Source organism: Homo sapiens, chromosome 7 (genome assembly GCF_000001405.40).
Source record: "Homo sapiens chromosome 7, GRCh38.p14 Primary Assembly".
In the NCBI taxonomy this organism is placed as follows: Eukaryota; Metazoa; Chordata; class Mammalia; order Primates; family Hominidae; genus Homo; species Homo sapiens.
The window spans coordinates 105,016,800-105,038,256 of NC_000007.14; the positions used below are offsets into that span (position 1 = coordinate 105,016,800).

Below are 21,457 nucleotides of genomic sequence, written 5' to 3' on the forward strand. Positions count from 1 at the left end.
TTAGAGCAGCATTTACTTCATATGGTGACTGTATCAACTAGGTTGATAAGGTTCTAGCCTACGAAATAATTAGAGAAATAACTGGCTCAAGGATTTTCTACATACCAGTGAGCTTCATCATGGAAGACTGAGCACACAACCTTACTTAGAATATTTGAAATATTTTATTATAAAGTGAAATGTTGGTGGGTAGTGGGCGAAATTTGTGTAGGGTTTTGGGGTCAGTACTCATTTGTATTTTGATCTGAGCAAGTATTTAAGTCCAGATCATTCACTGCTGTGTAAAGATTGTGCATTTATTTTAAAGGCTGGGTGATTAAGGTCTGTGGTTCAGAAGCTTGGTACTTTAAACTTACTATTCAATATACAAAATCAGTGTATTCTTAAAAATTTGATTTATGTGGCCATAGGAGGGAACACTGCCTGTGCCCGATGGTTTTCTTCATAGAGACCTTGGTCAGGTCTAGACAGACAAAGCAATTGAACTTATTTGGCTTCAAATGAAAAATACCAAGTTAGAAATTATAGGAAAAGCTGTCTTCAGTTTACTAGCTTTCTTCATATTGGCTTGCTTTATTGCTTTAGGTTTTGTTTCTTTTTGGTGGTGGTGGTGGGTGGTTTTTTTTTGTTTTTTGTTTTTTTTTTTGATGTTTTAGTTCCTGTAAAATGATACTGGCTTTTTTTTTTTTTAAGTATTGTACCTTATTTTGAATGGTTACTTTATAAATCACGAGGCTATAATTGTTTGTTTTTTGTTAATTTACTATGTGTGTTTTAAGTTAGGATTGTCTAGGCAAATTTATTAGAAGGTTAGGCATAATTTTTGTTCCCAGAGAGTTTTGAAAGAATTTGGTTCCTTGGGGGAAACTAGTCAAATGGTCTTTGTTCTAGGATAGCTGAGTTTGAAGGATTAGTTGTTTATCTGTTTAAGTGGATTTGTAGAGAACTATAATGTAATTGGAGAGTTAATTTTATTTTTAGAGCCTACATTTTGATCATACATCCTTTCGTTGTCAGTGTAAATGAAAGGATCTCTCTGATTCCAGTTTAAGTGTAGAGCCTTGACAGGTCTCCATTTCCCGTCAACTCTGTAAGACTGATAACTGCCCTACAATTTTGGCTCGTCTGACTTCCTCACAGCTTCCAGAGAGAAATCATTGCCATATATGCCCCCAGTAAGCTCTAGGACTTCTTGAGTCTATTGAGGCAGTAGGGAGAAAAGCTAATTAATAGGAGAAAAATTTCCCCTCAGTACATATCTTAGTGGTCTTAGGGAAATTATAATTTCTTAAATTGGCTTCTTAATTTCCAAGAATAATGTACTCGTTTTCATTCATCAATCTTCTAAAGAAACCTGTGGTTTAATTTTTAAAGGTGTGTTTTATGTAAACCCTAACAGCTCTGCATTTCTGGAAGCTACTACTACTGGGACTTAAATGTGTACAACCATAGTGTGTTTAAAATGTGTAAAACTAACAGAACTTTGAAGAGCTATCAAAACTGGTTAGGAAATACTAGTATGCAGTTTTCTCAACAGATGCTATTTTATGTTTACTATTTTAAAAATATTTTAATAATGTGTAAAAGCTTTTATCTCCAAAGGATTTGTTTTTAGCAGATGGTAGGTGCTTAATTATTTCTTGGATGTGAATCTTTTATTGAAGCAAACACATTTACATCTCAAATATGTAGGGTGATCAGGGACTGTTCCCTGTTATGTGTTAGAATAAATGTTAAATACTTGTATTCTGTGAGACTTGTTTCCCCCAATTTCATGATAGATTATCTATGAGACTTTTTAATATTGAAAATATAATTATTTTATGGTAAAATTAATTTTTATGTTGACTGGCAAATTAACGAGTGGAATACTATTTGAAATATTACTCTGTGAATGTTACTGGCTTTTAGGCTGGGTTTAAAATTGAAGTGGCTCGTATTTACTACCTGTTCTGTAATGTGCAGATGTTGGGAGGAGCCTTATTTTTTTCTTGACATTGAAAGAATAATTTTTTGTATTACCTACAAATTTACTTAACATGGAGGAACAGTATTTGTTGTTGAAATTGTTTTCTACACTAAACTGGAAGTGGATGGTATTTAACTAAAAATCTTGCAATTGCTATTAAACAATGAGTATTTTGCATTATATAAAATAAACAGTATTTTACTTTGTATAATATAAAATGAGTATTTTACTTTATATAAAATACTCTGTTTAATAGCAATTGCAATATTTTTAATAGCAATTGCAAGAGATAAGAATTAACCATATTATGATGCAAACAAATTGTTTTTTTGTTATTGTGAACTTCCATGCTAAGTGCTACATTAAAAATCAAATGAAGGTGACCCAGAGTAAGTTAATTAGATTTTAATTCATATCTTTAAGGATAAAAGAAGTTTTTATTAACCATTGGTAACTAGGATGCTTTTTACTTAAATCAGAGTCAGGAAAAGCAGTTGGTCTTATATTTCACGAGATAACATGTTTTCACTTGATATGAAATCAGTTCTTTTTTTCCCTCATGAACAGCTCATAATTGGATTTTATTTTTGGACAGAAAAACTTTTTTTATTGTTAGGTGAATTTTACAGTTTTATTGGAAATCTCGTTTGGTTATTTACCAAAACTATTTAAGCTTTTTGGGATGTTGGACATTTTCAATGCAACAGGTCAACAAAGAATTCTTTTTTGATGTGTTGCATTAAGATGCCATCAAAACAGACACTACGTCTTTTAATGAGTAAATAATTAACCTATAATATGTGTAAACTACTTGTTCATCATTTTTAATTAAAATATTTTGTATTTCAAAACTGTTTCAAATATGAAATCTGGGTTTAGAAAGGATCTGCATGCAGGTCAACGTGATAAGCAATGATCTATGTAGCTTTATTTTTACGACAATTGGACAGAGGTAATTTCTTAGCACCTCTTAGGCTGCTTAATTTAGAGTTAATCCAAAGGAAGAAACATTCCTTCAGAAGACTAGGACATATCAGATATTAATTATTAAAAATAGGCTGGGCACGGTGGCTCATACCTGTAATTTCACTACTTTGGGAGGCCGAGGCAGGCGGATCATTTGAGGTCAGGAGTTTGAGACCAGTCTGGCCAACATGGTGAAACCCCATTTCTACTAAAAATTACAAAAATTAGCCGGGCGTGGTGGCAGGTGCCTGCAATCCTACCTACTCAGGAGGGCGAGGCAGGAGAATTGCTTGAACCCAGGAGGCGGAGGTTGCAGTGAGCCGAGATTGTGCCACTGTACTTCAGCCTGGGCGATAGAGTGAGACTCTGTCTCAAAAAAAAAAAAAAAGTAAATAAGTAAATTAAAAAAAAAAATTCTTGGTCCTGAATTTTAATATTGAGAAAGATGATATTGTGTAATCACACCTGTGTAATAGCCAACTTGGTTGCAGCATTTAAGGTCATGCCTGTCTAGCATACGATAGTGGATTGAGTTAGTTTTGGTTTGTGGTACTTACAACTTTAAAGTTCACTTGGCCTGGCATGGTGGCTCACGCTTGTAATCCCAGCACTTTGGGAGGCTGAGGCAGGTGGATCACCTGAGCTCAGGAGTTCAAGACCAGCCTGGCCAACATGGTGAAACCCCATCTCTGCTACAAAAATTAGCTGGGCTTGGTGGCGGGTGCCTGTAATCCCAGCTACTTGGGAGGCTGAGGCAGGAGAATTGCTTGGACCTGGGAGGCGGAGGTTGCAGTGAGCTGAGATCGTGCCAGTGCACTTCAGCCTGGGCAACGAGCGAAACTGCATCTCTAAAAAAATAAATAAAGTTTATGTAATTATGCTGTCTCATGTTTTATCTGAGACCAAAAATGTTTAAATTTTTTCATTTATGTTGACTTTTGTTTTCATAGGGTATTTAAAATAATTTCCATTTAAAGTCTTAAAAATTTACACTTATAAATTATTTTAAACTTATTTGAGTTAAATAAGCTTAAAGATTAAATATCTTTTCCTTACCGTTTGGCCTAAGATGAAGCCTAGTGTCAGTGGTTTTTAGTAAAAAGTGAGGAATATGGTGAAAAGAAAAGAATTAACCATTACCACTTAGGATATTGTCAGGGAAACATAGTTTGGGTCTTTCAGAGAATGTGTATGAGAAACATACACTCTTCTAATATTTTTGTTTTCTTATTTCAGAGACTAATATATGTAATCGTTTCTATTTTTGAGTTTACAGAGAGATATCTCCAGTTCCTCTTACCATCTTGCTTTATGTAACATTTAAAGAAAGACAGCGTTCAGGAATTTGAAAACCCCATTTCCTCTTTAATGAAGTGGCTGAGATGGGAAGATTCATGATGTGACTAATTTGAATGGTTAGGACTGTGGTCCAGTAGCCATAAATAGGGGTCTCAGGTTGGTCTGATACATAGTAACTCTTACCCAGAAAATAAGTCTCTGCTTCTTCTCTTTAAATGAAGTTGCTTAATTGGTTGCCTTGACACAGGCTTATTACATCTTACATCATTAAGCCTTCGCTGTAACAATATTTTTGAAGCACAGACAAAAGATGAATTTGAGTAGCTATTATTTTCCTGGCACCACAGATGCAGAGAGAGATGAGACTGTCCCTGCTTTGAGAGAACCCGTAGTTTATTTCACCTTCTTAAAAGCCTGCTGTTTTAGAGTTTTTTGGATGCAAGGAACAGAAATCAGCTCTAGCTAGCTTAAATAAAGGATTTGTTATAAGGCTATAGGGAAATCTCACATAATTTATTTGAAGAAAGTACAGATGGGCCTCACAGGAATTGGCAAGGTGTCAAAGAGCCACTATTCACCATCTTGATCCCCTCTAATTATCTGAGACTAGTTAGAGAGATGGTGGTGGGGTGGGTGTTCATGGTTTGTAGAGTGGCGTTTCTCAGAGTAAAGCAAGAGAAAGACACGTTTAATTCTCCTGAAAACAATTACCTTTTTCCAGGAATGTTCAAAGGTACTTGGGAGGGCTTCCAAAACTAAATAATTGATATATCACACTGATGATTCAATTTTTAATTAAAAAATTGCCACACACACATGATGAGGAATGCTAAAAAACCAAGATATTTTTGGTTTTAACTTAAAAATAATGTAAAATTTACTGAAAATTTACTTGAATAGTACAAATAACTCTCTTATACTGTGTACCAAGATCACCGGACTTGTGACATTTTGCTGTTTGCTTTATTATTCTCTTTATATATACACCTGGTATTTTTCCTGAACCATTTGAGAGTGGGTTTCATTGCCAGTAGTACTAGCCCCCTTACAGCCCTTATTACTGAAGTATGCATTTCCTAAGAACACGCATGTTTTCCTAAGTAACAGAGTAGTTGTCAAATTCAGGAAATTTAACATTGATGTAATACTAAATAGTCCATATTCTAGTTTTATCAGTTGTCCCTATTATGTCCTTTATTAGCATTTTTTTCAGTACCATTAGCCGATCCAAGATCACAGATTGCATTTAGTTTTGTTGTCCCTTAAGTCTCTTTTAATCTGGAACAGTTCCTCCATCTTTGTCTTTCATGACATTGGAAGGCTTATTATTTATATATTGCTCCTCAGTTTGGCTTGGTCTTAAGGTTTCTTCATTATTCAGGTTATACATTTTTGGCTAGAATACTAGATTAGAAATATGTGTTTTTCTATCGTCTGGAGGCATATGATGTTTGTTTGCCCTTTACTATTATGTTCATTTTGATAGCTTAGTTAAGGTGTTGAGTAGTTTCTCTATTGTATAGTTGATGTTTTTTTGACATTACTAATTAATTTTTGGGGAAATACTTTGAGATTGTATAAATATCCACTTCCTCATTAAACTTTCCTCTTCAAGATGTAGCGTCTGTTGATGATTCTTGCCTAAATAAAGTTTTTACTGTGTTGGTTGTAAATACACGAAGGTTTTTCTTTTCTTTTGCTTAATTAAAAAAACTAATTTTCTTCTTTTCTTTACTTGGGTACATACATACACATATACACCAGGGTTTTTAACTGATTTGTTTCTGGATAGTTGGGATTGTGGGAGTTTCGTTTTCTTGTTTTTTCTTTTCCAGTTTTTCTGTAAGGCATATGGGCTGCTTTTTAAATCACAACAAATAAAATAAATTTTAAGGAAGAAAAGTATAGATAAGATAGACAGTAGTATATGTATAATATTCCTGTACAGTTTTCCACCGAAATGGGATTTAAATAGTTTCCTGGATGCTGATCTAATTTGAAATCCAGAACACACACACAAAAGATGTGCTTCTAGTTCCTTATTTAGTCTTTAAAACTATTGCTAAATGAGTCTTGAGTTACAGTTGTATTGTTTAGGCTTATGATTTGCTAATGCCAGCAGCTTAATTTCTAAGGGCCAAAAACATCTTCCAATTTTGATACTCCCCTTTCTCCAATAAAAAAATCCATTACCCCGTCTCTACTAAAAATACAAAAAATTAGCTGGGCGTGGTGGCGGGCCCCTGTAATCCCAGCTACTTGGGAGGCTGGGGCAGGACAATCGCTTGAACCTGGGAGGCAGAGGTTGCAGTGAGCTGAGATTGCACCATTGTACTCCAGCCTGGGTGACAAGAGTGAGACTCTGTCTCAAAAAAAAAAAAAAAAAAAAGAGAGACAAAAATTCATTAAGCAATTTTTTTTTTTTTTTTGAGATGGAGTGTCGCTCTGTCGCCCAGGCTGGAGTGCAGTGGTGTGATCTCCACCCACTGCAAGCTCCGCCTTCCGGGTTCATGCCATTCTCCTGCCTCAGCCTCCCTAGTAGCAGGGACTACAGGTGCCCACCAGCAGGCCTGGCTAATTTTTTTGTATTTTTAGTAGAGATGGGGTTTTACTATGTTAGGCAAGATGGTCTGGATCTCCTGACCTTGTGATCCACCCACCTTGGCCTTCCAAAGTGCTGGGATTACAGGCTTGAGCCACTGTGCCCGGCTCCGTTAAGCAATTTTTAAAAAGTAAAATATTTTTTGGAAAACATTAAGATAGGTTATTTTTCACATACATGCAAATTAATGCTTTTTAAAAGGGGGTTGGTGAGATGGTATATACACAGATGGTAATACAGCAGAGCATGAAACATCTGTAATTCTAGGGCAAAGCGGTATATGGTTTCTAGAACTTTGTAGTTAAAGAAATATATACTCAGAAAGGTTAAGAAGGACAAGTAAAGGAAAAGAAACAGAAAAACACTTAGACTTTCATTACATTATGATAATACTCATCAGTTTTATGTATTTTCAGTTATAGCAAAATGTTGGTAGTGAATTTGGATGATAATTTAATTTCTTTGGAAATTTTCAGACAGGAGAAGAAAATTTTGAGACTTACAGAGTACATATTCTCTAAAACTTAAAATTTTCTTCTGAGAAAATTAAGATAATCATATTTCACAACAATGAAGATTAATGAAATACAGTGGATACTTAGCATTTGGTAGGTGCTTTAAAAAATAATTTGAATTGACTGTGTGCCAATATGTCTTAACAGATTGATGGAAGTTCAGTTTGTAGTACTACTAAGTCTTAATTCGGTGTTTAAACAAAAGGTATGGCGGAAGGTACAAAAACAAGCCCCATGATGAACGAAAGGATTTTCTTTCAGGCCAGAACTCCCATCCTGGACGTGTAAAGGAGTACCTTAATTGACTGAAGTTAAGAATCTACATTTAGAATTGACTTAAGAGAACTCTTTGTTATTTTTTTCTCACTGTGGCTCAAGGACCTCATGTATCAATTATATTAAAATGAACATTCTCAGACCAATCAAGTTTTTAGAGTAGGGCCTTGAATTTGCATTTTAGTACTGGCTCCAGCTCATTTTTATATTCCAGTTCTCTGCTTTTATTTTATAAGGAGATTGAGCTCCAGAGAGTTTAAATGATTTTCCCAAGGTCGTAAAGTTACATAGTGGTTAATCAAGGTTTAAAATTTAGGTCCTGATTCTTGGTGCTTTATACTTTTCCAAGAAATCATGCTGGACATTTCTTTTTAAAAGGCAGGCCACTATTTTCAGAGTCTGAAATAAGCAAATACTGGTCTTTGTACAGTGTCAAATGACAGACTCTCTGTCTACTGCTTGTGTATATTCCAGTTCAAGATGATTCATTGGTTTCCAGAACCTATAGGCTATTTGGATAAGGAGCTTGAATTAAAATCACAGCAGTACAAATTGGGATCAAGTTGTGGTTGAGCCTTGAATGCCAGATTAAAAGCATGTGTACTTAAGAGGAGTGCTACTGAAAAATTTGCACTGGAGAATGACATGTGGAACGTGGCTTATTTACCTCCAATTCTTAAGATGTAAAAGTAACATATGTTTATTAAAAGGACTCAAAACAGTACTTCTTTAGAAGCTGTATTGTATAGAGTAGAGATTCCAGAACCATACCACTTTGGTTTGATTGCACTCAAACCAGGTTGTACTTCTTTGGGCAATGTTTTCTACCTCTTTGTGCTTTTGTTTCTTGGTCTGCAAAATGGAGATAATAATAGAGCCTATTTCATAGTGTGGTTTTGAGAATTCAGTAAGTTAATTTGGGTAAAATTCTTAGAAGCTCTGTAGCCTTTTCTGTGATAGTTGTTTCTGGAAAAAAGTAAAAAAGTAAATCTCTGACTTCTGTGTGTAAGGTCTATCATATGCTAAGGTGATCACTATTTATAGTTTATGTATTTTTTTCTAAAATGTTTTATGTAGGTACTATAGATGTTTCCTTAATCTTCATTTAACCAATGTGCAGGATTAATAATTCTTCTTTTAAAAATACTAATGTCCATGTATGTTGAATGAATGTAAACTACTTTCTGCTGCTTCCACCAGTTGAGATGAATGCTCATGGAAGTTATAGGTTTCTTCCCAAATTGGCTAATTCTATTGTACTTGTAATGTGTTTATATTATTCTACTAAGTATTACGTAAACCAATGATAAATGAATGTGAAAAGAGAACTGTTTAAACGCAAACTAAGTTAAATGCTTTGGAAAACTTGATAAAGGCAAATTAATTGCTGAAGAAAATTGTAGTCAGTTTAGGTGTGGGCAAGATGACTAAAAGATTACAGGGAAAAAATAGAAATCTAGAAGGAAGTCTACATTCAGATTGCCCCACAAAGATCTAGGTAACTTATTTTGAAATATGTTGAACCAAAAACTGTGGACAATGCATTATTGATCTGGTTTATGTAGGAACAAGAAACCAGAATTCTAGTCAGGGGAGCTATACTCAAAGAATACATTTTGGCTTGAAACTAAAAAATTGATAAGGATATTTTAAATTACAAGTACAGTATTTAAGATACATGTATTATAATTCTCCATGTTAACTTTGATGAACTCGCAAACATCTAGTCTCCTGTATATATGTAAATTTAGATTTCTGTAATTCAAAAGGGGATGGATCCAATTACATACTGTAACTCTTTTGATCATTTAGTGTCTTGGAAATCTAAAAATGGGACTTCAGGATCTGACTCTGGTTTATCCAGTGGGGTTTATAGGACTCTGCTAGATGAAATAAGAGATTTCAAGTGGTTCTGGAACATATCAAGATCCAAAGACCTTTGTTGTCGTGTGAGATTTAAATTCTTTTTTAGGGACCTTTTGAACTCTGATAATACTATAGATTAATTTAGTGGCAGATAGTTGAGTGCCTTCCTATGTAAAAGCATCATAGTAGCTATTAATTTTGTCTTGTTCATCTTGCACATACTGCTTCCTAAGGGAAATAACTGATGATTGTGTTGGTTAACATCGCTGGAGTCAGATTGTGTGGTTTTTTCAAATGTAAGCCTGTAATTGGTGTACAGTAACCTAGTTGCTGTATATTAGTATTAATCGTTAGCTATACAGTAATCTGTCAACCATTTGATCTTTGAATTGTATGTTTAAACTGGCAAATCTCATGGATGTGATATGGTTGTACCAAAAGACAAATGCTGTTTTATTGTGTGATTACTTTGAGAATAATTGTGAGAAACTGGTAATTATCATTTAAATTGATCTACAGTGATAGTGGAAGTTATATGTCAAAGGAGATTTTGTCGACATAGCTTAAAATTTCACTTACAGAAGTTTAAAATTGGTACCTCTTACCTCCTAAAGTAAATAGTTCATTAAGGATTTTGGGAAAAGCAATTCTAGTTCAATCCCCAGCTACACACAGCAATTTCCTCATGCTTAAATGGTTTTTATGAGTGACTGATGAGCTCACTATATGTGGGTTATTTTTCATTTATATATAAAATCCCTTTGCAGAAAGGCCCCGCCCTCTTTTTTTTTTTTTTTTTTTTTTTTGGAGACAGGGTCTTGCTCTGTCACCCAGACTGGAGGGCAGTGGCATGATTATGGCTCGCTACAGCCTTAATCTCCCAGGCTCAAGTGATCCTCCCACCTCAGCCTCCCAAGTAACTGGGACTACAGGTGCCATGTCACCATGTCTGGCTAATTTAAAACAAATTTTTTTTTGTAGAGATAGGGTCTCACTAAACAGCCCATGCTGGTCTTTAACTCCTGGGATCAAACAGTCCTCCCACCTCAGCCTTACAATGAAGCTGGAAGGTGAAAGTGAGTGTAGTCTGTCTCATAGCAAAGGTACTGGTCCCTTATAGGACTCATTGTATCCACCAACCTCATTCTTGACATTTCATTTTTGCCTGTATTCTAAATTTTTTCAGAGATTGTGTGCTTTTTTTGAAGTTCAAGGCAGGCTACTCTAAAAGCTCATGTGTGTTTGCATACTGAGTATTTTTCTTATTGGATATGTGGATCTATTAATTCCATAATTCATTTTTGTGTGTAAAGTGCACAGACATTTTCTTTCCTTAAGCTTCAACTCTCTAGTTGTATTATACTAGTCTTCCCATTTCCGGGTTTTTGTTTTTCTATTTACATTACTGTATGAAGAGGAGGAAGCTGATCTTGGGATATCGTAAGTCTTGGAATTAAAAGACAGGAAAATGCTGTAGAAGTAAAACTGTTTAAACTTGAAAGTATTTACATATATATTTATAATTAATTTTGGTCCCTTGCTGATTTTATGGGTTTGGTAAGTACTTAGGAATTAAGTCTACTCTTAGTTTAGTCTTAAGATTTTTATAGTAAATATTTTAAATACATCTGAAATATTAAGATAATTATTCAAATATACTAATAGAGTTGCTGTTCTTTCACCATTTGCTTAGTGGCCAACAGTATTCTGATTGGAATTGATTATTATCATTGGACTGAATAATACAATTTTTGTATATTCTAAGAGACAACTAACATTAATAAATAAATATCTACACTGTGTCTACATATCGTACTCTGAGCAAAAAGATAGATATTTTGCTCATTTTTTCCTGAGTGGCATAGAGGAACTGAGACTTTTTTTTTTTTTTTGTGAGACAGAGTCTGGCTCTGTCGCCCAGGCTGGAGTGCAGTGGTGTGATCTCAGCTCACTGCAACCTCCGCCTCCTGTGTTCAAGCCATCCTCTCACCTCAGGCTCCCGAGTAGGTGGGACCACAGGCATGGGCCACCATGCCCGACTAATCTTTGAATTTCTTTGGAGACTGGGTTTCCCACATTGGCCTTGCTGGTCTTGAACTCCTGGGCTCAAGTGATCCGCCTGCCTCAGCCTCCCAAAGTGCTAGGATTACAGGCATGAGCCATCAGCCCAGTCGAGACTGAGACATTTCTGTTTTCTTTTTCCTCTTTCTTGCTTTTTTTTGAGGGATGGTCTCATTCACCCAGGCTGGAGTGCAGTGGCATGATTTTAGCTCACTGTAACCTCCACCTCCCAGGCTCAAGCAATTCTTGCACCTCAGCTTCCCTAGCTTACCTCAGGTGTTCAGCTTCATCTGCAGCACCACACCTGGCTAATTTTCATTTTTTGTTTTTTGTAGAGATGGGATTTCACCATGTTGTCCAGGGTGGTCTCTAATTCTTGAGCTCAAGTGATCCCTCCACCTTGGCCTCCCAAAGTGCTGAGATTACAAGTGTGAGCCACCGTGCACGGCCTGAGACTGAGACATTTCCTAGGGTCACATAGCTAAGGAGTGGCTGTTCAATAATTTGAATTAAAGTCATTTGAAAATTTTTGTAGCTTTCTGTTGATCCTTATAAAGGACTAATTCTTGACAAGGTATTGAGAATAAACATCATTAATCAAAGGCAGCTGCTTAAGAAAACTACTCTAAGGCCGGGCACGGTGGCTCATGTCTATAATCCCAGCACTTTGGGAGGACGAGGTAGGTGGATCACTTGAAGTCAGGAGTTCGAGACTAGCCTGGCCAACATAGGGAAACCCCGTCTCTACTAAAATACAAAAATTAGCCAGTTGTGGTGGTGCACGCCTGTAATCTAGCTACGTGGGAGGCTGAGTCAGAGGAATTGCTTGAACCTGGGAGGCAGAGGTTGCAGTGAGCTGAGATCGTGCCACTGCACTCCAGGAAAAAAAAACACTACTTGAAGGTACCCTTGATTATATTGGATTGCCATAGGTCATTTCAGGTGTCATAAGAGCAATATAATTTTGTTCATTGCCCATTCCCAAGAACCTAGAGCAGTATCTAGAACATAGTATATGTTCAATAAATATGTTAAATGAATGAATTTGATTTGATTTGGTTTTAAAATAGAATAGTTGTACTCTGAGGGAGGAGGGAAATGCTTAAACAATACTAAGAATTCCATTCTTTAGAGACAAATTACTTAGAAGTTGATAGTGACATATTGAAAGGGTTGTTGATTGTTGGATTATTCAGGTGATGAAGATGATGGTAGGGGCCATGGCGGCTGAGGGAGAATGAGTCTTAAACACTGAGGAGGCACAAAAGATTGGGTGGCTGGATATAATAGGAAACTGGAACGAAAGAAGGAGAAGAGAATGGCGATACTGATAAAAAATAGAATGAAAGAAGATGTGTGGAAAAGAAAGTTTCACTTTGAAGGCTTGATTTTTGAAGTGATGGCAGATATAGATATACATCCAATAGATGAGTGGGAAAAGTAAATCAAACAGAAATGAAAAATTGAGTCCAAGATTGATGGGAGACTAATAATGGGGAGGACTGAGCCTGGGGGCAACTACATTAGTAACAGTGGCAGGTTTTGTTTTTTCATGTTCATTTAAAGGAAGGAGGAGAGATTTATGTGTTAGAAAAAGGGAAATTGTGGTTTAATCAATAATAATTTAGGTGGGTATCCTAGCCACTGAATTACAGGCTTTGAGGTAATATAGAAATACCTCAGTTCTTGCTATGGAGTCAAATAGATGATCTAATTGTGGAAGCTATACATTTAGCAGCTGTTCTAGAACAATGTCTGTCAAAATATAAACCAGTAGTTAATGTAAGTAGTGCATTCTTTAGGAGGTTAAGAAGGGAAGACATTAGTGTAGAACAAGTTTTATAGCTGGAGAAGTCTTTTGAGATAAAGTCTAGTCAAATTGTTATTTACAGGTGAGGAAACAGCCCTTAGGAGGTTGATTTGCCAGATATCTTAAAACTATCTAAAAAAATTGGGAAGGCTTCAAGGAAGCATTGGTTCTTGAAGGTCTAATATGATTTTTATTGGGTGGGAAAGAAAAGGAAAAGAAAATTAGTGAATTTGAAGAGGAATGAGCAAGGATATGCCAACAATAGCAAAAAAGACTTGCATAATCAAAGGAGTTATAGATTGGATTATTAGTATGGAACAAGATAACCTGATAAAATGTCAACATTAGGAACTTGACTGGAATTACTGTGAACTACACTTTTTTTGAATAGGTCAAAGTTATGAGGAAACTAGTGGCTTTTGAAGTATAATATTCTGTCCAATGTTGTAACCAGTACTAAAATAGAGCACTGGTGTGAATGCCCTTTTAGTTTTTTGATAAGGCATTCAGGCCACATCTCAGACCTACTACATGAGAATCTCTAGGGTAAGGCCTAGGAACCTATCATTTTCTACTCCTATCCCCAGGTATATGAAAAGTAACAGTTGTGGATCTATGTTTGGGAACCAGTGGTTTAAAAGCCACATTAGTATAGGGAAAGAAACTACTTAGGGAAGTATTCATTGCCCAGGTCTGAGATAATAAAATGTAGACAGTATCATCAGAAAGATTTGTTTAAATTCTATTAATTAGATTTTATGCACGTTGTTTTTAGAGAGGGAAAGAAGAAAAATCTCAAGTTTTCTAGTATGAAAGAAATGGATTCAAAATAGTGATAGAAAGCATACTTAGAAGGAGATAGAAGGAGAGTGAGGACACTGTTTTACTTGCGATTAAAGAATGACAGAATAGGCTGGGCACGGTGGCTCATGCCTGTAATCCTAACACCTTGGGAGGCCAAGGTGGGTGGATCACTTGAGGTCAGGAGATCGAAAACAGCCTGGCCAACATGGTGAAACCCTGTCTCTACTAAAAACATAAAAAATTATCCAGGCGTGGTGGCAGATACCTGTGATCGAGGTACTTGGGAGACTGAGGCAGGACAATCGCTTGATCCTGGGAGGTGGAGGTTGCAGTGAGCCAAGATGGCGCCATTGCATTCCAGCCTGGGCAACAAGAGCAAACTCCGTCTGAGGATTGGGGGGGTGGTGGGAGGGTGGGGAAGAAAGAATGACAGAATAAAATAATTGCCAACTTCATTTTAATCAAAAACCTGCTCTTATTTGGTTATTTAATGGCTGAAAAAGGTGAGGCACGGTGGCTCATGCCTGTAATCCCATCACTTTGGGAGGCCAAGGTGGGCAGATCACTTGAGGTCAGGAGTTTGAAACCAGCCTGGCCAATATGATGAAACGCCATCTCTACTAAAAATACAAAAATTAGCTGGGCATGGTGGCGGGCACCTGTAATGCCACCTAATTGGGAGGCTGAGGCAGGAGAATTGGTTGAACATGGGAGGCGGAGGTTGCAGTGACTCGAGATTGTGCTACAGCACTCCAGCCTGGGTGACAGAGTGAAACTGTCTCAAAAATAAATAAATAAATTAAATAAATAAATAAATAAAGGCCAGGCATGGTGGCTCATGCCTGTAATCCCTGCACTTTGGGAGGCCAAGGTGGGTGGATCACTGGAGGTCAGGAGCTTGAGACCAGTGTGGCCAACATGATAAAACTCTGTCTCTACTGAAAATACAAAAACTATCTGGGCATGGTGGCGCGCCTGTAGTCCCGGCTACTTAGGAGGCTGAGGCGGGATAGTCTCTTGAACCCAGGAGACAGGTTACAGTCAGCCGAAATCACACTACTGCACTCCACACTCCAGCCTGGGCGACATAGCAAGACTCTTATCACAAAAAAAAAAAAAAAAAAAAAAAGGCTAAAAAGTAATAATGATCAAGTCTAATGGTCTATATAGGTTAAGTAAGTTAAAGATAAATGGGGCTGGGCGTGGTGGCTCAAGCCTGTAATCCCAGCATTTTGGAAGGTTGAGGCAGGCAGATCACCTGAGGTCAGGAGTTCGAGACCAGCCTGGCCAACATGGTGAAATGCTGTCTCTACTAAAAATACAAAAATTAGCTGGGCATGGTGGCAGACACCTGTATTCCCAGCTTCTTGGGAAGCTGAGGCAGGAATATCGCTTGAACCTGGGAGGTGGAGGTTGCAGTGAGCAGAGATCGCACCACTGTACTCCAGCCTGGATGACAGAGCGAGACTCCGTCTCAAGAAAAAAAAAGCGTTTGCAGGATTTTAAAAAAAAGTTATTTACTTATTTTTGTTTTACTTATTTATTTTTTTTAGAGACAGAGTCTTGGTCTGTTCCCCACGCTGGAGTACACTGGTGCTATCATGGTTCACTGTCACCTCAGACTCCTGGGCTCAAGTGACGTTGTCACCTCAGCCTCCCAGTTAGCTGGGATTACAGGCACATACCACTACCCCTGGCTAATTTTTAAAAATTTTTTTGTAGAGACAGGGTCTTGGTTTTTTGCCCAGGCTGGCCTCAAACTCCTGGCCTCAAGCAGTCCTCCTGCCTTGGCCTCCCAAAATGTGGGATAACAGTTGTGAGCCACCATGTCCATCATAGGATTTTGTTGTTGTTTGATTATTAATTACAATAAGCTTTAACACTATTTTTTGCAAGAGTAAAAAATATTCTACTCAATATGTCCTTGGGACAAGTAGAATATACCAGTGAAACAAGTTTTTCCTATCAGATTTTAAGTCAGCATTTTCTTTTAGCTATTGATTTTCAAACAGTTCTTCAGGAAGCCATAGGTGAGAGGGTGTACAGGTGTGGACATTCCCCTGGTATTTTTTTAAACCACAGATGTAGCAAACATGAAGTACAAATGCCTACTCTACCCATTGGCAGACATCACTGTGGCATTCTCCCATTATATTTGGCTTTCTTAGTACAGCACTTCAAGTGGACACTAACAATTATTGGTTAAAGCACAGGAGATTAAAACTATTTTTTCATGTTACAATCAAAAAGGATGCCTAGATTTCTGTGTTAATATTTCATGTGTAGGCAAATTGCTACCAATGCTTAAAAAGAGTTTGAAGCCCACAATTTTAATGTCATTTTAAAACATTAAACTTTTAATTTTGTGATAATTATAGAGTTGCATATGGTTGTAAGAAATAATAGAGAAATTCTATGTATTTTTACCCAGTGTCTTAGTCCATTTAGTGTTGCTATAACAGAATATCTGAGACTAGGTAATTAATAGAAGGTTTTTTGTATTTTTGTTTGTTTTGCTTTTTTTTGTTGCTTTTTGTTTTTGCTTTTTTGAGACGGAGTCTTGCTGTGTCGCCCAGTCTGGAGTGCAGTTTCATGATCTCGGCCCACTGCAAGCTCCACCTCCTGGGTTCATGCCATTCTTCGGCCTCAGCCTCCTGCGTAGCTGGGACTACAGACGCCCGCCACCACGCCTGGCTAATTTTTTTGTATTTTTAGTAAAGATGGGGTTTCGCTGTGTTAGCCAGGGTGGTCTCGATCTCCTGACCTCGTGATCCGCCTGCCTCGGCCTCCCAAAGTGCTGGGATTACAGGTGTGAGCTACTGCGCCCGGCCCAAAGGGTTTTTAGTTCACTGCTCTGCAGGCTGGGAAGTTCAAGAAGCATGGTGGCATCACAACATGGAGGAAAATCAAAAGGGAAATGGGCACGTGTGAAAAAGCAGAACTCAAAGGGTGTTCTGGCTAAAGTTTTTAACAACCCACTATCTCAGGAACGAATCTATTCCTCAGAGAACTAATCCAGTCTTGCCAGAGATAATGCTCTCACTACCACAAGAGCCACCCACAGAGTCGGGGCCCTCATGATCCAGACACCTCCTGTTCAAGGCCCTACCTCTTAAAGGCTCCACATCGTAACCTTGCTTCACTAGAAATTAAGGTTTCAACATGAGTTTTGGCAGGGACAAATCTTATTCAAACCATAGTACGCAGTTTCCCTCAATGGTAAAGTCTTGTAAAATTGTGGTACAATGTCCTGACTAGTGTGTGTGTGTTTGTTTGTTTGTTTTAAGAGACAGGGTCTCCCTTTGTTGCCCAGGTTGGAGAGTAGTATGATCACAGCTTGCTGTAATCTCAAACTCCTAGGCTCAGACGATCCTCCTACCTCAATCTCCTGAATAGTTAGGACTACAGGCTTGCACCACCATGCCCAGCTAATTTTTTTATTTTTGTGGAGTTTGGGTCACACTCTGTAGCCCAGGCTGTTCTGAAACTCCTGGCCTCACGTGATCCTTCTGCCTCAGCCTCCCAAAGTGCTGAAATTACAGACGTGAGCCAACACACCTGGCCAAGACCAGAATATTGACATTGATACAATCTTCTCCTTTTATTCAGGCTTCCCAGTTGTATTTGCACTCATTTGTTTGTCTAGATTTAGTTCTGTGCATTATGATCACATGTGTGGGTACCTGTACCCACCACCACAGTTAAGGTATAGAACAATTTTATCACCACAAGGATCCTTAATATTGTTCTCCTATGTAACCATACCTATCTTTCTCTACCCCTTCCCTTCTGAATAACCTATCCTCCATTTCTGTAATTTATTACTTTAAGAATGTTATATAAATGGAGTTAAATAGTATGTAACTTTTTGAGGTTGGCTTTTTTTTGGGGGGTGGGGGGGTGGGGGGATGGAGTTTTCGCTTTGTCACCCAGTCTGGAGTGCAGTGGTGCAATCCTGGCTCACTGCAACCTCTTCCTCCCAGGTTCAAGCAATTCTTGTGCCTCAGTCTCCTGATTAGCTGAGATTACAGGTGCCCACCACCACACCTGGCTAATTTTTTTTTTTTTTTTTTTTGAGACTGAGTCTTGCTGTGTTGCCCAGGCTGGGGTGCAGTGGCACGATCTCGGCTCACTGCACGCTCCGCCTCCTGGGTTCATGCCATTCTCCTGCCTCAGCCTCCCAAGTAGCTGGGACTACAGGCGCCCACCACCAAGCCTGGCTAATTTTTTTTTTTTTTGTATTTTTAGTAGAGACGGGGTTTCACCGTGTTAGCCAGGATGGTCTCGATCTCCTGACCGTGTGATCTGCCTGCCTTGGCCTCCCAAAGTGCTGGGATTACAGGCGTGAGCCACTGCGCCTGGCCTAATTTTTTTTATTGTTAGTAGAGATGGGGTTTCATCATCTTGGCCAGACTGGTCTCGAACTCCTGACCTCAAATTGTCCACCTGCCTCAGCCTCCCAAAGTGCTGGGATTACAAGTGTGAGCCACTGTGCCCAGCCAAGATCGGCTTTTTTTTTTTTCCACTCAGCATAATTACCTTGGATTCACCCAAGTTGTTGCCTGTATTGATAGTTTGTTCCTTTATATTGCTGAGTAGTGTTCCATTTAATTTTATTTTCTTGCTTTATTTATTTATTTATTTATTTTGAGACAGAGAGTTTTGCTCTTGTCGCCCAGGCTGTGCAGTTCAGGTGATTCTCCTGCCTCAGCCTCCTGAGTAGCCAGGACTACAGGCATGTGCCACCGTGCCCGGCTAATTTTGTATTTCTAGTAGAGGTGGGGTTTCACCATGTTGGCCAGGCTGGTCTCGAACTTCTGACCTCAGGTGATCCACCCACCTTGGCCTCCCAAAGTGCTGGGATTACAGATGTGAGCCACCACACCCGGCCATAAACACAAATTTTAGTCTTTGAGACTGTATTTGCCCACGTTTGTGGTGTTTTAATGCATTGTTACAGATTAAATGTAAGTTTGTTAACTGGATCAGGTTTGAGGGAGGAGCAAGGTCGGTTTTGTTAGTGCAGTTTCATTTAATAATCAGAGGAAACGCAATTCAGATGTTCTGGAGTGAGATACTTAAGTATTTAATTTCCCTTTTTGAGAGAGGCAGCTGTCAATTTTTTCTTCCTTAATTATAAATTCTAGATTATTTATTTTACCTATCATCTGGCAGGGTTTTTTGTTGTTGTTGTTGTTGTTCTTTTGGTTTTTTTTTTTGTTTTTTTTTTTGGCAGAGTCTGTCACCCAGGCTGGAGTGCAGTGGAGCAATCTTGGCTCACTGCAACCTCTGTCTCCTGGGTTCAAGCGATTCTCGTGCCTCAGCCTCCCAAGTAGATGGGATTACAGGTGTATCCACACCCAGCTAATTTTTGTATTTTTAGTAGGGACACGGTTACACCATGTTGGCCAGGCTGGTCTTGAATTCCTTACCTCAGGTGACCCACCCGCCTAGGCCTCCCAAAGTGCTGGGATTACAAGTGTGAGCCACAGCTCTCAGCCATCTGGCAGTTTTTAATTTCAGGCATACTGATGTGTAGGCTCTGGAATCAGACCACAAGGGTTCAGATCTTGATTTGGCTATTTATTAGTTATGAACTTTGGACAAGTTTAACCTCTCTACCTCATTGTAAAATGGGGATAATAAATGCACCTATACCATAGGCTTATTGTGGAGATTAAGCATTGTAAGCACTCAGAATTTGCTATCATTATTATTATAACCACTAGTTGGGGAAGTTTGAGTATCAGATAAGTGCTTCTAGAGCACTATCTGGTAGTAATGCTAGCTCAGTTGTAGAAATGCATATTCATTTTGTTATCACATTTATATTTTATAGTTTTTTAGAATCTAAAATTCTGTCATTTTGATTATTTGGAATAATCTGTTAATGTAATTGTAAGATCATCAGCCTAATCAACTTCCATTTATAGTTGAAAGTCAGAGCAGTGAAATGACTTGCCCAAGCATTCGTAGGTAGTAACTTGGAATGGATCTGATTGACTAGTATTCTTTTCATTTTACCTTAGTCAGCTGCTGTAAATTAAATGTTAAATGACTAATAAGGGCTGTTTAATTTCCAGTCTCAGTTACATGTCTCCTCAAAATTTCTTTCAAGTTTCTTTAATTATTTCCATTAGTAATTAAGCCAAAAATTTACCTAGTCTCTTAGTGATACACATCCAAAATATATACATTAATTTAAAATATTTATTGAGCACTGTGCCAGGTGCTTATAAAGGACAGAAATATAATAAATGGCTCTTTCCTCAAAGAGATTGTTATATTGGGCTCTTTTATTTGTAATTTTAGAAAAATATTTTTACTCATATTTTTTATTCTTTCTGCCTTTTGGGTATCATATTAATCTTTAAAGTGTTACTTTTTGTTTTCTTTTTTTTGTTGTTTTTTTTAAGACAGGGTCTCCCTCTGTCAGCCAGGCTGGAGTGCAGTTGTGCAATCGTGGCTCACTGCAGCCTTGACCTCTTGGGCTCAAACAATCCTCCCATCTCAGCCTCCCAAGTAACTGGGACTACAGGTGTGCATCACCACATCCAGCTAGTTTTTGTATTTTTTGTAGGGATAATGTCTCACTATGTTGCCCAGGCTGTTCCTGAACTCCTGGGCTCAAGTAGTCTGCCTGCCTCAGCTGCTCAAAGTGCTGGGATTACAGGTGTGAGCCACTGTGCCCAGCTGTTTTCTGTTTATTTTAACACGGTCTTAAAGGCAGCTTCAGTCTTCCAGTTTTTCTGATAAACTGTTTTCTACTTTAATTGCTTTTTTTGCCTTTTACTTCATTTTTCCTACTTGAGAGTCTTGTTTGTTTTTATTGTTTTTGTTTTGGTATTGTTGCCTTTGCTAAATCTGTTTTTAATATTGTATTAAAATTTATTTTTCAGTTAAACATTTTTAAATATTAAATTTAATATTGTATCCCAGTGTTTCTTTTTCCAGTTTGATTTAGTATTTAGCTTTGATTGTTGCCTTTACTTGTGTTTACATTCATTTGTGTAAAAAGGGAAGAGTAAATTTATCCTTTTAAGAATTGGCTGCTTTGTGTGAGTCACTTTGGTTTTAGGTACCATGTCAGTTAGAAGTAATTATAATTTTATGCCATTTAAAAATAGCTCAAAACTCCTATGTTCACTTGGTTTCTAGGTCTATTCTGGATAAGCAGGTTTTGTGAAGACATTTATTCTTTCTTGGACCTCAGATTTACCAGACATCTCATGGTATTTCCTTTTCTATTATTTCTTTAATGGCTGCCATTTATTCTCAATGTATTTTGT

At 37.7% G+C, this 21,457-nt stretch overlaps 1 protein-coding gene across 6 annotated transcripts in view; it reads left to right on the top strand.

The window, feature by feature from the left end:
* Positions 1–21,457, top strand: part of KMT2E (lysine methyltransferase 2E (inactive)) — a 100,815-nt gene that overhangs the window by 2,595 nt on the left and 76,763 nt on the right. For 2 of the 6 annotated variants that reach the window (XM_011516400.3, NM_182931.3), the window contains exon 2: positions 21,327–21,400. The exons of the other annotated variants lie outside the window; for them this stretch is intronic. The gene's annotated coding sequence lies outside the window, so the exon portion shown is untranslated. The remainder of the gene's footprint in view (positions 1–21,326; positions 21,401–21,457) is intronic. 6 annotated transcript variants of the gene reach the window in all.